This window comes from Homo sapiens, chromosome 8, assembly GCF_000001405.40.
Source record: "Homo sapiens chromosome 8, GRCh38.p14 Primary Assembly".
Lineage (NCBI taxonomy): Eukaryota > Metazoa > Chordata > Mammalia > Primates > Hominidae > Homo > Homo sapiens.
This window is the reverse complement of record NC_000008.11, coordinates 42,136,310-42,152,228: the sequence shown is the minus strand read 5'-3', so window position 1 is coordinate 42,152,228 and position 15,919 is coordinate 42,136,310. Positions and strand designations below refer to the sequence as shown.

Below are 15,919 nucleotides of genomic sequence, written 5' to 3'. Positions count from 1 at the left end.
CGACCTCGCCGATGAGAGGTTCGCCCTCCCTAGCATTAGTTGTCACTTTGGTGAAATGGAGCGTGGGTGGCAGCTCCTCCACACACAAGCCCTTTGCTGAGGTGGTGCGGGGGGTTCTCTCCACGCTTGCTAAGGGCAGGTAGTTGGCTGACTTTGAACTATGAAGAAAAGCCAGAAACAAAATGGCAGAATGGTATGACTCTGGGTGGGCTTAGGGACGCTGGTGCCAGAGGACTTGGCTTGAACCCGCTCCAACACTTACAACCTGAGTGACCGTGAGAAAGAACTGTAACTCCTCTAAACTTCAAGTTCCTCACTTCTCAAATAAGAACGTGAATAGTACCTCCCTCCTAGAGTTGTGAGGATTGAGTTAGAAAATGCTAGCAATTGTTATGCCCTAAGGAACAGCACAAGATACAATAACACGTGATAATGTGTGTCGAAGGTGCAGAAATGCAGTCGCTGCCGTGAGAATTTCTCATTCATTCACTGAATTAACATTTGCCGAAAACCCCCACGTATCGACCTGTGCTGGATGCTGGAGATGCTGCAATGACTGCTGTCACAGGCATTGTCCCTGTGGTTACAGGGCCCAGCAGGAAAGACAAATGAGAAGCAAGGGATTGCAATGCAGTGTGATGAATAAGGAACGCATAGGGGGTGGGAGGAGTGCTGTAGAGATGGCTGACCTAGAGTCAGGGAAGACCCTCTACCTTGAAACCTGAAAATGAGAAAGGATCCCTCAAATGCAGGGATAGATGGACAGAGAAAAAAGTACATAAGGAAGGCTCTGCAGATGAGCAAGTTAAGTATAGCTGAGCTGGAATGGTAGGAAGAGCGCAGGGAGATCAGGCTGGAAAGGTAAGTAGGGAGCCTAGTGGTTGTGAACCTTGGAAATGTTAATATTTATAAAACACTGTGTGCCATACACTGTGTTTTATAATTTGTAAGTACCATTCCATAAATATTTAGTGAGCCCTACCATGCGCCAGGCACTGTTCCAGTGCTTGGATACATAACACCAGTAAACAAAAGACAAAAATCTCTTGGAGCTGGGCGCGGTGGCTTACGCCTGTAATCCCAACACTTTGGGAGGCTGAGGTGGGCGGATCACTTGACGTCAGGAGTTCAAGACCAGCCTGGCCAACATGATGAACCCCTGTCTCTACTAAAATTAAAAAATTAGCCAGGCGTGATGGCACGTACCTGTGGTCCCAGCTACTCAGGAGGCTGAGACGGGAGAATCGCTTGAACCCAGGAGGCAGAGGTTGCAGTGAGCTAAGATCGCACGACTGCACTCCAACCTGGGCGACAGAGTGAGACTCTGTCTCAAAAAAAAAAAAAAAAAAAAAAAAAAACCCTGTCCTAGTGAGGCTTATATTCTAGTGGGGAAAAGACAGATAATAATCAATATACATAAGTAAAGTATATAGTAGGTTATAAGATGGCATGTGCAATAAAAAAAAACTACCAGGAGTGTTATGGGATTGGAGGGCAAATTACAGTTTTTAAGAGAGTAGTGAGAACAAGCCTCATTGAGAAGAGACATTAGTGCAAAGATTTGAAGAAGGCAGAAGAGTTAACTATAGGGAGATCTTGGGGGAGAGCATTCCAGCAAAGGGAACAGGCACTGCAAAGCCTGTAAGGCCAGAATGCTCCTGGGGAGTTTCTGGAGCAGGAAGGGTGACAGTGTGGCTGGAGTGAAATGAGCGCAGGGTAAAGGAGGAGACAAGGTTACAGGGTGGGTGGCCTGATCACACAGGGGCTAGAAAGCTCTTTTAAAGATTATGGTTGTGAAAGAGAGAGCCCATGGAGGGTTTGGACAAAGGGGTGATAGGATCTGATTTATCAGTCATCTGGGTTGAGAAGACTGTGCAAGAAGACTAGTGAGACCGCTGCAGTGACCCAGGCGAGAGGTGATGGAGCTCAGACCAGGCTGTAGCCATGGAGGTGGTGAGGAGGAGGTGGACTGTGCGTGTAGTCTCCAGGAGGAGCCAGCTGGATTTCCAGATGGATGGGATGCAGGGAGTGAGAACAAGAGAGAAGGGAGGGCCACTGAGCTTCAGCATGGAGAAGGATAGTTTCATCAGCTGAGACTAGAAAGACTATGGGTAGGCCAAGCACGGTGGCTCATGCCTGTAATTCCAGCACTTTGGGAGGCTGAGGCAGGTGGATCACCTGAGGTCAGGAGTTCGAGACCAGCCTGGCCAACATGGTGAAACCCTGTCTCTACTAAAAATACAAAAATTAGCCGGGTGTGGTGGCGAACACCTGTAATCCCAGCTACTCGGAAGGCTGAGACAAAAGAATTGCTTGAACCTGGGAGGTGGAAGTTGCAGTGAGCCAAGATTGTGCCACTGCACTCCAGCCTGGGCAATAAGGCAAGACTCCGTCTCAAAAAAAAAAAAAAAGCAATCACAAATCTGATAATGTTTTAAGAGAGTTTATGAGTTTGTGTTGGGCTGCATTCAGAGCTATCCTGGGCCGCATGCAGCCTATGGGCCTTGGGCTGGACAAGCTTGCTATAAAGGAATACCTGAGACTCGGTAATTTATAATATTAAAAAAAAAGAGGTTTATTTGGCTCATGGTTCTGTAGGCTATGCAAGCGTGGCACCAGCATCTGCTCAGCTTCTGGTGAGGCCTCAGGAAGCTTTTACTCATGGCAGAAGGTGAAAGGGGAGCGGGCAGTTGCATGGTGAAAGCAGGAGTGAGAGAGAGGAGGTGCCAGGCTCCTTTAAACAACCAGCTCTCTCATAAACCAACAGAGTGAGAACTCACTCATTACCATGGGGAGGGCACCAAGCCATTCACGAGGGATCCAACCCCATGACACCTGCTAGACCCACCTCCAAAACTGGGGATCACATTTCAACATGAGATTTGGAGGGGACAAACATCCAAAGTATATCAATATATCTGTGAGCTCCATTAACTATCCAAGTGGAGATGTTGAGAAGGCAGCTGGACATATAAGTCCAGGGTTCAGGAGAGTGGGCTGAGCTTGAGATATAAATTTGGGTGTTTTCAGTATATGGATATTTAAAGTAGTAGGACCTGTTGAGATGACCGAGGGAAGGAGTGTGGAGAGATAAGAGAACCAGATTCCAGGGACACTCCAAATTTAAGAGTTCACATAAGAGAGGAGGATCTGAAATCATTTAATCCCCCCAACTACTCTAAAATGAATTACCGTTGTGATCCCCTTTTCGTAGATGAGGAAGCTGCAAAGACAGCTTAAATAACTGCCCAAGGTCGAACAGCAAAGCTGTGATTCAAGGACGTTGGAAGATCTGAGCAGAATGGCTCAGATTCCACACTTCCTACCTCTAAGCCCAGGAACCCATTGAAGAAATGTGAAGCAGGAGAGTGGCACACTTTCAGATTTCCATTTCAGAAAGACTATGTGTGCAGGATGGACTGTAACAGGCTGAGCCTGGAGGCTGGGAGGTTATTTAGACAATTGCAGTAATCCCTAGGAGAGAGCTAGTGCCTGGAGCCATGAGGCAGGGATTAGAGAGAAGTGGACACCTTCCAGAGAAGATAGGGATTAGGGATTAATGGAATGTCAGTGGTGAGGCAGAGTAGGTTTCTGATTCGGGCAATGACATGGATGGAAGCATCATGTGTTGAGATGGGGATCACTGGAAGAGAGGCCCCTTGCGGGGAGGGCGCATGAATCCAGTATATAGCAATGCCTGGGGGCATGAACCAAGTTGACACTCAAGTGTTTGTTGAATTGAATCAAGTAACATAGAATCTGAGAGCTCATGTAATACTTTCCCATGACTTTAAGAGAGGCCACAGGAAATCATTGACAAATGATAAGTCAGTCTATTTTGTGCATAAAAATCTCTAGGGAAAGATTTCCTAAAGCTGCCACTCACAAACCATTCTAATGTTTAACAGCTCTCACTGCTGAGAAATTTTTCTACCATAAAAAGTTAATCCTAGCTATCAGGATTCACTGGGAACCATTTATTTATTTATTTATTTATATTTCATTTTTGGTCTGAGACAAGAGAGGCCTTGCCCACCCAGAAAGACATTTTTTTCAGAGCTGCAACATCATTTCTGCGTCTTTGCCACTTCCTCCCTGTTCACACGTATGCTCTCCTTGCAACACACCTCACTACCGGTCATGCACTGAAGCAATGGAATGCCTTCTCCTCATGCCTCCCTTCTCACGGAGCCCTCTACCTGGCACATGTTTGTCTTTTACTCATCCTATTTTGGAAATTCGCTCCAGCCCGCAAGGCCCAGCCATATGTTTCCTCCTCCACAAAGTCTGTTTGAAGCTTCTTGCCCCCACACTGGGAGTAATGTTTCCCTCCTCTGTGATCAAAGAGCATTTCCCAGCTCTTTCATGTAACCTACAGAGCGGGCACACTCTGCCATGCATCAACATGTGCATCTGCTGACCAAATCTGGATTCTAAGCTCTTTGGGAAACCACAGTGTGTCTCACAATGTCTAGTGAACAATCACCTATTAAACTAACAGTGATGGAGTGCTTACAACCTCCTGGACACTGCGGGTACAAAGATGCGGTACTCTATGTTACTTCAAGGAACATACAGTCAAGTGGAGGGGGGATTTAAAGTGTAGACTGCTCCCCTTATCAAAACCAGGCCGGGCGCCGTGGCTCACACCTGTAATCCCAGCACTTTGGGAGGCCAAGGCGGGTGGATCACCTGAAGTCAAGAGTTCGAGACCAGCCTGGCCAACATGGTGAAACCTTGTCTCTACTAAAAATAGAAAAAAAAAAAATTAGCCCAGTGTGGTGGCATGCACCTATAGTCCCAGCTACTCGGGGAGGCTGAGGCAGGAGAATCACTTGAACCCAGGAGGCAGAAGTTGCAGTGAGCCAAGATCACGCCACTGCACTCCAGCCTGGGCCACAGAGGGAGACTCCATCTCAAAAAAAAAAAAAAAAAAAAACCAGCTCCTTTAAGCCTGGCCATGAAAGGAGCCTGTCCATGTGGAGAGGAGAGACTGAACCTGACGCCCTACTCTAGAAAAAGAGATCCGCTTTCCCCTTAGGGACCTCTCACTGCTGGCTGCAGCTCCCACCACCATACTGGTTTTGGGAGGGTCAGTATCCCTTTAACTCTTCAATGGCATTTAAGACACACTATTTTTTGTTGTTTGTTTAATTTCCTATAGCAGAGCAGAGACCAGGATGGACATTTATCCAAAGCTTGTCTAAAGACTTGAAGATAGGCCGAGCACAGTGGCTCACGCCTGTAATCCCAACATTTTGGGAGACAGAGGTGGGCGGATCACTTGAGGTCAGGAGTTCGAGACCAGCCTGGCCAACCCATTTCTACTAAAAATACAAAAATTAGCTGGGCATGGTGGCGGCCACCTGTAATCCCAGCTACTCGGGAGGCCGAGGCATGAGAATGGCTTGAACCTGGAAGGCAGAGTTTGCAGTGAGCCAAGATCGTGCCATTGCACTCCAGCCTGGGTGATAGAACGAGACTCAGTCTCAAAAAAAAAAAAAAAAAAGACTTGAAGATAACAGAAAGGAAGTGAGCAGAAAGAGTAACATGCAACTAAAAATGTAGCTCACAAATGTGATCCAATCCGGGCATCTTAGATGTCTCTATGGGATGCACACCTGCTTCCAGGGGACAGGGATGCTGTGTACCTCCTCTCACCTAGGAGCCCCGGCAAGCCATCTGGAGTTCCTGAAATCCAAACCTTGTCTGACAAGGAGACAGCAGCCTCCCTCTCCTGGTGGCCTCAGGCTGGCCTCCTGGTTCCAGTCTCCTGAGGGACATAATTATTGCACCAAATGGTCCCTTCCCCAGATGATTAGCCACAAGAATATCCAATCATGAGGCCACACCCTCACCTCAGGGGCATGGCATTATTCTGTGGCTTGTTAGTAGACGCTCCGCGGTTCTTTCTCTGCACTCTCCCTAGATGGCTTCATGAGTGTAATACCCTTTTAATGATGACAGCTCTCGATGTATCTCCAACCTCAACTGTTTTCCCCAGCTTAGTAAACAATACCACCATCCATCCAGCTACTCAAACCCATGAGTCATCCTCAAGTCCTCCATTACCCTCATCCCCTCATGTAATCAGAAGCATACCCTGTGGATTCTATCTTCAATGTACATCAGGAATTCAGAATCTCTCCAATGCAATGTCATCACTTTAGTCCAGGCCACAATCACCACTTCCCTGAAAGATGATAACCGCTGCCATACTGGTCTCCCATTTCTACTCTCACCCCTCCAATCCATTTTCTATACAGCAGCAAAAGTGAGCTTTTAAAACTGTAAACAGTTATGTGCAGCTTGGAACCCATCAATGCATTCCCATGGCATTAAATCAAAAATGCCTTTACTACTTCTTTTTTTTCCCCGCTTAGAGTCAGGGTCTCACTGTGTTGCCCAGGCTGGAGTGCAGTGATGTGATCATAACTCATTGCAGCCTTGAACTCCTGGACTCAAGCAATACTCCCGCTTCAGCCTCCTGAGTAAATGGGACTACAGGCATGCCACCACACCTGACTACCTTTAACACTTATCTGTCCTCTCGATCTCTCCAGTTGAATCTCTTGCCACACCCCTCCACCACTCACCCCCACTCTCAGCTCTGGGCCTAGAATATGCTCTTTCCTCTGTTTGGAAGCTCCTGTTCTTCCTTTAAGTCTTCCTTTATGGTACCTTCTCAGGGAGTCTTCCATTAAGCACCTTGTCTAAATCTACCCCCCATCTTTGTCTTCCTCTACCACCCTAAGTATTCTGTCTCTATTCTTTATAATACCCATCGAAGCTTGTAATTACTGTGTTTATTTATCTGTGGTCTTTTCTTCTTTGTCAGTCTTCCCCACTAGAGTATGTGCCCCCTGAGGTCAGGCACTGTGTCTGTCCTGCTCACCTTTGTAGCCATTGCCTAGCACAATATCTGGCATTCAGGAGGTTTCAGTAAATGTTTGTTGCCCTGTGAAAAGCAGTTTGGGGATCTCTCAAAGAACTTAATATAGCACTACCATGCAATCCAGCAATCCCATTACTGGGCATATACCCAAAGGAAATAAATTGTTCTACCAAAAAGACATATGCACTTGTATGTTCATCACTGTGCTATTCACAATAGCAAAGACATGGAATCAACCTAGGTGCCCATCAATGGTGGATTGGATAAAGAAAATGTGGTACATATACACCGTGGAATACTATGTAGCCATAAAACAGAGTGAAATCATGTCCTTTGTAGCAACATGAATGCAGCTGGAGGCCGTTATCCTAAGCAAATTAATGCAGAAACAGAAAAGCAAATACTGCATGTTTTCACTTGTAAGTGGGAGCTAAATGTTAGGTACACACAGACACAAAGATGGGAACAATAAACACTGGGATCCCAAAAGCAGGGGAAAGGGAGGAAGTCAAGGGTCAAAAAACTACCTATGGGTACTGTGCTCACTACTTGGCTGACGGGATCATTAAAGCCTCAGCATCATGCAATATACTCATGTAACAAACCTGCACCTGTACCCCTGAATCTAAAATTTTAAATAAATAAATGTTTGTGGCTTACATGGGCTGTTCTGATCACCTTCCACTGTTGGTGAATGAGGGGTATCCCTGCCCTAAAAAGTACAAGATAGCCAAACACATGACACCTGGCCCTGGACGGATGAGGTTGATAGCAGTTTATTCACAATGTAAACTCACAGCTGCAGGAGGAGGAGATTGTGGATGGTGGGGGCTGCATTCTGGAGTAGAGCAAACCCCCAGAGAGGCAGCCTTGGTAGAGACAAGAGGGCAGGATGGCCCTTGGTTCCCATTGGAGCATGTGATTGGTTTGTTTGAATTATTTCGCGGGCTAATAGGAAGGTGAAGCTCATTAGGTTGAGAACTGCATGGGGTGCAGCTTGTCCTGCTGACAGAATTAGCCAGGGATGTCTGCTAAGATGAGGGGAATTCACAAGCATTCAGGCCCTGTGATCTTCAAGAATGTCAAGGTTGCACTTGAAAGTTTAGTTCTTACCATACATGGATCTATAATAGCATCTGGACAAGAGACATACACATATAGTAGCCAGAGGCAGGGGGTAAGGGGAAGAGATTATTTTATTATAAGACTAAGTGAATGAATTACTATACTACAGCCCTGTGATTTGTATGTACAGGCTACTAGATGAGTAGCTAGTAAGTTTTCCTTAAAAAACTGAATTCCTAATCCTACCTTTTTTTTTTTTTTTTTTTTGAGACATGGTCTCACTCTCACCCAGGCTGGAGTACAGTGGCGCAATCTTGGCTCACTACTGCAGCCTTCACCTCCCGGGCTTAAGTGATCCTCCCACCTCAGCCTCTGGGCTGGGTGGGACTACAGGTGTGTGGTCACCATGCCCAGCTAATTTTTCTATTTTTTTTGTAGAGACAGGGTTTCACAACATTGCCCAGGCTGGTCTCGAACTGGACTCAAGCAATTTGCCTGCCTCGACCTCCCAAAGTGCTAGGGTTGCAGGGGTGAGCCACTGTGCCAGGCCCCCTAATTCTCCTTTATTCTTATCCTAAATTGGAGCCCATGGGGATTATGCTTAGCTACATGTAACAGAAAAGCCAAATAACACTGGCTTAAACAAGATAGGGGTTTAGTTTTCTCTCCACATCATGAGATGTCAAGAAGTTCATAAATCCAGAGCTGGAATGGCAGCTTCCATCATGGACTCAGGCATCTCTTAGCTTGTCATCCTACCCTTCCTGGGGGTGGAGCTTTCATCCTCATGTGCATAACATTGTTGCCGTGGCTCCAGGCATCAAGCTATATTCCAGGCAAAAAAAGATAAAGAGCAAATGGGTGTGAGCCAACTGCATAGGCTCCCTTTAAGGGACTTTTCCTGAATCCCACTGGTACTCTCTTGTTCAGATAATATTATGTTAAAGGAGGTCCTGGGATTGTTCTTAGCTGGGCACATTACTGCCCCCACTCCCACTTCCAAAATGGATTCTGTGAATAAGGAAGACAGGAGAATGGATATCCAATAGGCAACTAACAAAGTGAAGTGTGATTACAATCAATGAATAGACTGAATATTTTAATTAAAGTCTAGAATTGGAGGGCTTAGGTAAGGTGGACTGGAAAACAGGAAGGTTCCACAAAACAGACTTTACTTAATTTTTTTTTTTTTGAGACAGGGTCTTGCTCTGCTGCTGACACTGGCCTTGAGCTGCTGGTCTCAAGCGATCCTCCAGCCTCAGCCTCCTGAGTTGGGATTACAGGCACAAGCCACAGTGCTCGACTTTTTATTTAATCTTGTTAGAAGACAAGACAGAAACATGTCCGTTGTGAAAACAAGGTACAGTACGTGATGTCAGGGTAAGAGTCATGTCTGAAAGCATTGTGGGGATGATAAGCAATCACAGGGTCATCTGCGTGGTGACAGGGTCACCACAAACTGGCGGTGTGACCTCAGGAGGTTACCTAGGGAGGTCCTTGGGTCTCATGGGTCGTAAAATGAGAGGATTGAACTAAATTATCTTTAAGATCTTTCCCAACGCTACAATTCTAGTGGTCATTTTTTTTTTTTTTAAGAGAGGGTCTGGCTCTGTTGACCAGGCTTAAAGTACAGTGGTGTGATCTCTGGTCACTGCAACCTCTGCGTCCTTGACTCAAGCCATCCTCCAACCTCAGCCTTCAGAGTAGCTGGGACCACAGGTGTGCACCACCATGCCTGGCTAATTTTTTTTATTTTAAAAGATGAGGGTTTCACTATATTGCCCAGGCTGGTGCTGAACTCCTGGGCTCAAGAGATCCTTCCGCCTCGGCCTCCCAAAGTGCTGGGATTACAGGTGTGAGCCACCACACCAGGGCAACTTTTATTTTAATTAAGTGAAATATTTTAGACAAATGGAAGGTTTCATAGAAAACAGATGAAGAGCTGGGTGAGACAGCACACACCTGTATTCTCAACTACTCAGGAAGCTGCGGGCAGATCGATTGACCCCAGGAGTTCAAGACCATTCTGGGCAACATAGCAAGACTCTATCTCTGAAGACAAAACCAGCCAACCAACCAACCAACCAATCAACCAACAAAAAAGATCAAGCAGAGGTGCTCCAGAGGACGCAGCAATAGAATTCCGGAGCAATGTCTGCTTGGCCTCGGTCTTCATTCCCATGGTGGCCCCTGAGTTCCGTGGAGCTCACTTCTACATAGTTCCATGTGTGACTTCAACAAAATAAAATGACGCATTTATTGGTTAAAAATCAGAGATTACCATCAGATATGGAAAATTGCTTTTACTTGGTAATAACAATCTTACGCACTTTTTACCAAACCCATCGCATTAAATAACTAGCGTTTCAAATTTTGACACTGCATAATAAACCCTCATTTGAAATGACTGGAGAAATACTCATCAAATCTCATGGAAGAATGACAGAATTTTCTCCAGAATTTATCGGAAAGGAAAAGAGGTTGGACTGTCAGGAAACGTTTTCAGGGTAACATACTTACTATTTTCTAGACAGTTACTCAGATAACACTTGTACGCAGAGGGAAACACACCCCTGGGCTTTGCAAACACTTGTTTCCTGTGTGTCAGACTCGCCTGCATCCTGTTTATCAAATGGAACGGATAGTTATTGAAAGCAAAGACCAGAACAACTTACCTCTTGTCAGTCACCTGCTTTTCTTTACTTGTCATACTTTTAGCATTTACAAAGTTTTAAAAATGTGTTTATCATTTGGTAATTATTTTTAAACTTTATTTGAAAATATAGACTGAGTTCTGAACAAATTATCCTTAAATTTCTTCCTCTAGTAGTTACACTTTTCAGTATCAGTGAAGTTTTATGACGCCTCTATTTTTCCTACCCACACAGCATCTCAAGTTTGTCTTTACAGAATAACTGGAAGTCCTAGCTTTATCCTCTCTCTGCGTTTCTCTCTCACAGCCCCCTCCTCTTGGACTCTGCTCTTCCTCTCAGCACCGTAACCTTTTTAATTTCCAGATAGGTTTTGAAAACACCATCTGTTCCCCTCTTAGGATCCCTGGGGCAGATGATAGGTGAACCCCACATCCCAGACACATGGCCACCAAAGATATTCTTGCTTTTTTAATGTTTATCAAGTTCCTCCGCAGACAACAGAAAGTAAGTTTTATTTAGGTATTTATGAAAGGTAACACGCATCTTTAAAAATATGATCATGATACATTTCGAATGAGAACTGTGTGTAAAACATACAGGTCCTATTGTTTCCCTCGTCGTTTTGTCTTTTCTTCAGCCAGAAAGTGATCCGCTGCCAGCGACAGGGAGACACACAACTGGTCCTTATTCTAAAGACCCGACCCAGCCTGGAATGGGGCCCGGCGAGGAGTTCTTGCGCCGGCCGCGGGGACTGGGCGGTAATGAGCCGCTAGTCTCGGAAGGTGGTGCTGTTGGGTGTGAGGGGAGATCCGGCTTGCGCTGAAACAGCGAGCGGCGTGCAAGGAGGAAGCCGCGATTTCCAAGGCGGATTCCCTTCGCTGGGACACAACTCTTGAGAATAAGACTTATAAGGACTCTGAGAGTTTGAGGCAGAGGCAGAACGGCTCTGGGCTGAGTGATGGGGAGGATACCAGCACTCAGCGCGGGTGGCGGGCGCGGGGCCGAGCGCGCGCATCCAGGGACGCCTTGGGGACGGGACGCGGAGAAAAGTTGCCGGGCGGAGAGAAAGGGTGGCGCTGGAAACCAAATGGCTTTCATCCCCTGGAGACAAAGAGGTGCCTTCTTTTGACAACAGCTGCCAGTGACACACACACCATACGGCGGGGCCGGCGGGGGAGGGGAGCCCGGGAGGAGAGCGTCTAAGGCGGGGACCGGCACTGACTTTCAATAATGGGGTGGTTGCCATGGTGACGGGCCAGGCATCTAAAGGGGCGGCTGAAAGCACCCATTGTTCTGGGGCCCGGCTGCTCGGGTTGTGCCTGTTCCTAAGAGACACCTTTAGACACCTCCCTCCGTGCAGGGGCGAGCTGCGGCCCGGGGCTGGGAGCGTCTCCGCGGGAGTTTCACACCAGGGCCCCAGGCCGCAGATCGCAGCGCCGCCTTGGCTGCACGCGCGCTGCATACGGAGGGCAGCGCCGCCTCCCACGCACTATCCGCCCGAAATCCGAGCGCGACGCGCGCCCGCCTGGGCCCAGACGCGCAGGCCGGGACACGCAGCTCCGCCTGCTCCCCGCTGTCCCGGGGAGACTTCGAATAACAATGCGGAGCAGGACCCGGTGACTCCACAAATAACTCGCTGAGGTCTGGGGCGAGGGCACTCGGGAAAACCCCGCAGTCACTTTGCAGTCGTGCTGGAAGGAAAAGCAGAACGGAATCACAGGATAAAGAAGATTAAAAGTAACAGGGCAGCGTTGCAATGTTGCTTGTAAGAGCAAGCAGCTGGAAACAACCTAAAAGCCCGTCCCTGGGGGCTGGGTGAATGATATGGGGCGCATCCCTCTGAGGGAACACTAAGCTGCCATTAAAGAGTACAGGGCAGCTGTATTTGCTGAGACGTGGAAATTTTCCGGTGTATTCTAAGTAATAAAGTGCAGAAGAGTGTGAGTAGGGCTGTGTGTATGTGGTATGTGTGTTTGCATCTCTGGAAGTGGTTGCTTCTTAGGATGGTCACTGTGGGACTAGGAGTGGAGGAGAGAAAGAAAACTTGCTTTTCACCGTACTAGAATCTTCTGCACCTTTTGAATTTTGCCGTTTATACTATGTCTTTACCTGTAAAGAAAAAAGAACTTTGAAATAAAGTTGCATTTGCTTGAACACTGTCTAATGAGATGTGCCACTCTCCATAAAGCATCTGAACTCATTTTTAGTGCTTTAATAAATATTAATTTTTAAAATATATATGCACAAATGCTATTAGCCCACAGATATGTAAAGGTAGTGACAGTGGCAAGTTAGAGATGAAAAGATACACTTCTTTCCTGCCTTCCTGTGGTGCCGAGACGGACGGAGCCAGCTGTCATTCAAGGAGCCTGCTGTATAACCCATCTATTATTATATCACATTAATCATAGGGATCTCACATTAAACAAACATGACATTAGGGAAATTTTCCTAGTTACAAAATGGTATATAATCAGTGAAATGGACTATTGAACACCAAATGTCATAGATTTTTTTTTTTTTTTTGAGACGAGTCAAGCTCTGTTACCCAGGCTGCAGTGCAGTGGTGCGATCTCGGCTCACTGCAAGCTCCGCCTCCCTGGTTCAAGTGATTTTGCTGCCTCAGCCTCCGGAGTAGCTGGGACTACAGGCACCCGCCACCACGCCCAGCTAATTTTTTTTTTTTTTGTATTTTTAGTAGAGATGTGGTTTCACCATGTTGGTCAGTCTGATCTCGAACCCCTGACCTCAGGTGATCTACCTACCTTGACCCCGCAAAGTGCTGGGATTACAGGTGGGAGCCACCGAGCCTGGCCATGGATGATCTTTCTACACAGATAAAAATAATCATTACTTAGCAATGACTTCACTGACTAATGATAGTAAGTTAACATCTATTGAGAATTTACTGTGTGCCTTATTGAGCACTGGGTTTAGAGTTTGATATGCAGTCTGGGAGCAGTGGCTTACGCCTGTAATCCCAGCATTTTGGGAGGCCGAGAAGGGTGGATCACTTGAGGTCAGGAGTTGAAGACCAGCTTGGCCAACATGGCGAAACCCCAACTCTACTAAAAATACAAAATTAGCCGGGCATGGTGGCATGGGCCTGTAGTCCCAGCTACTTGGGAGGCTGAGGCAGGAGAATCACTTGAACCTGGTAGGCTGAGGCTGCAGTGAGCCAAGAGGGCAACAGATTGAGACTCAGTCTCAAAAAAAAAAAAAAAGAGTTTGATATGCATTATTTCTTTTAATCTTCAAAACAATTTCCCTATTTCACAAATGAAGAAACGTAGAAACATTCTTCAGTTTACCTGATATAACACAACTAAGAAAGCCACAGAGTCTGGATTTGAATTCACTTCTGACTGACTCTAAAACTTAAGTTTTTAACCTCTACCCTACTTATTACTTTTAAAATTATGGTGAAAATTCAGGCTCAGTATGACTGTCTGTCATCCTATGGTTTCATGAATTGAATAAAAGGTGTCTAAAGGTTGAGAACTAGATTACCTTTGAGGAAACAGTTGCAAAGTATAGCAGGTATAGCTGATGTAGTCTTCATCTCAGTCCATAACTAAAGTTTGATTGGAGTCCAGCCAAGCTCATTTGTTTGTGTTGTCTATGGCTGCTTCTCTGCTACTATGGCAGAGTTGAGTACTTGCAACAACCAAAATTATTGACTAAATGGACCTTTACAGAAATGTTTGCTGATCCTTGTTCTAGAGTGATGGTCATGTACTCAGAAAGGCAAAAGAGAATAAAACTTTTAGAATTTAAAAATACCAGCCCCATTCTAAATGTGTTATTTTCATATTCACCCAAGTACTCCATTCCTGTTCAAAATTGCGTATTCAGGCCAGGGGCGTTGGCTCACACCTGTAATCCCAGCACTTTGGGAGGCCAAGGTGGGCGGATTATTTGAGGTCAGAAGTTTAAGACCAGCTTGGCCAATATGGTGAGACTCCTGTCTCTACTAAGACTACAAAAATTAGCCAGGCATGGTGGTGAGTGCCTTCTAATCCCAGCTACTTGGGAGGCTGAGGTGGGAGAATCACTTGAACGCAGGAGGCAGAAATTGCAGTGAGCTGAGATCGCGCCACTGCACTCCAGCCTGGGCAAGAGAGTGGCACTCCGTCTCAAAAACAAAAACAAAAACAAAATTGCATATTCAGTGCTGACCTAAAGAGCTTTAGCATTTGGGGAAATAACACCTGTTTTTAACAGGATGAATATGGTATGGATTTCATTCAACCACAAAGCCTCTTTTCGACGCTTGATCGGAGCCAAAAGGCTGAGAAGAAATAGGACTCTTCTTTGGTTTTGTTTTTTGGTTGGTTTTTCTGTGAGAAGGAGCTAGCTTACCTATGAGCACACATCCTTTGCTCCTGACTCTATTCTTAAGCAAAGACGTTCCAGGAAAAGAAATAAGCCAAGGATAGATGATGTTTTGCCAAAATGAAGTAATTATTATGGCTTGAGATATATATACGGTACTTGGAACTGGCTTAGAGAGATGATTGCCAGTTTTCCTTAGATTTCAAAGAACAGTGCTCCTTTTAAAAAAGCTTTAATGGCTCTAGAAAACATACAGAAGATTGTGTGAATTTGTAGAAGAGGACAGGGCTCTCTGTCGGGACCATGGCCACCAATTGCAGGGTGGAACTTTTAGTGAAACTGATGTGAAGGGATATGAATTCCAGCTACCCCTCCTCTTGTCACTGTCTCTGTCACCTTCTGCCCCAGAGAGGTGGCAGTTGCTCCTTGTTGCACAACCAGAAATCCAAGGTTATGCTTATGGACATCACCTGCTTCTAAGAGCCAAAAGCTGTGGGTGTCTTTAGGCAGCATGCCAGATGACTTTGAAATTTTGTTTTTTTAAGCTGGGAAGAACTCTCTAGAAGCTCCTCCACCCAGCTAACAGCTGACCTGTGTTGGCTTGTTTAAAACACTCATGAAATTGGCCACAGTACAAAACTCTTATGAAGCACTGGGCTTACCAGCAGAAACAGAGTACGTCTATGTAATTATGATAGAGCTATCACTACTCAATATCACTTGTAGGTCTAGACAAATGTTAATTCTAGCTAGTAAAAGTTAGGTTCTGATTATAGAATCTGGGTGGTGGGTATATAGGTGTTTATTGTACATTTATTTTTTCTTTTCTCTCTTATTCTTCTATTTTTTATTTTTTATATTTTTTGGAGACAGGGCCTCTCTCTGTTGGCCAGGCTGGAGTTCAGTGGCTCACTGCAGGCTCCACCTGCTGTGCTGCACAAGCCATCCTCCCACCTCAGCATCCTGAGTA

General features: G+C 45.9%; 1 long non-coding RNA gene across 1 annotated transcript, besides 4 other annotated features; it reads left to right on the top strand.

Annotated features, from left to right (window-relative positions):
- Positions 91-210: an enhancer, noted in NCBI's record as "active region_27299". NCBI's record gives its function as "activates an Ori minimal core promoter by ATAC-STARR-seq in GM12878 lymphoblastoid cells {active_cell/tissue: GM12878}" and the evidence as "EXISTENCE:reporter gene assay evidence [ECO:0000049][PMID:35858748]".
- LOC107986939 (uncharacterized) lies at positions 10,624-12,768 on the top strand. Its single transcript, XR_001745885.2, has 2 exons — positions 10,624-11,118; positions 11,252-12,768. It is a non-coding gene; the product is annotated as an uncharacterized LOC107986939 (long non-coding RNA).
- Positions 11,241-11,468: a silencer, noted in NCBI's record as "fragment chr8:41998279-41998506 (GRCh37/hg19 assembly coordinates)". NCBI's record gives its function as "represses an EF-1alpha promoter that drives an FKBP-Casp9 reporter gene in an ReSE screen in K562 erythroleukemia cells {active_cell/tissue: K562}" and the evidence as "EXISTENCE:reporter gene assay evidence [ECO:0000049][PMID:32094911]".
- Positions 12,372-12,451: an enhancer, noted in NCBI's record as "active region_27298". NCBI's record gives its function as "activates an Ori minimal core promoter by ATAC-STARR-seq in GM12878 lymphoblastoid cells {active_cell/tissue: GM12878}" and the evidence as "EXISTENCE:reporter gene assay evidence [ECO:0000049][PMID:35858748]".
- Positions 12,462-12,521: an enhancer, noted in NCBI's record as "active region_27297". NCBI's record gives its function as "activates an Ori minimal core promoter by ATAC-STARR-seq in GM12878 lymphoblastoid cells {active_cell/tissue: GM12878}" and the evidence as "EXISTENCE:reporter gene assay evidence [ECO:0000049][PMID:35858748]".
- Positions 12,769-15,919: the final 3,151 nt, after the last annotated feature.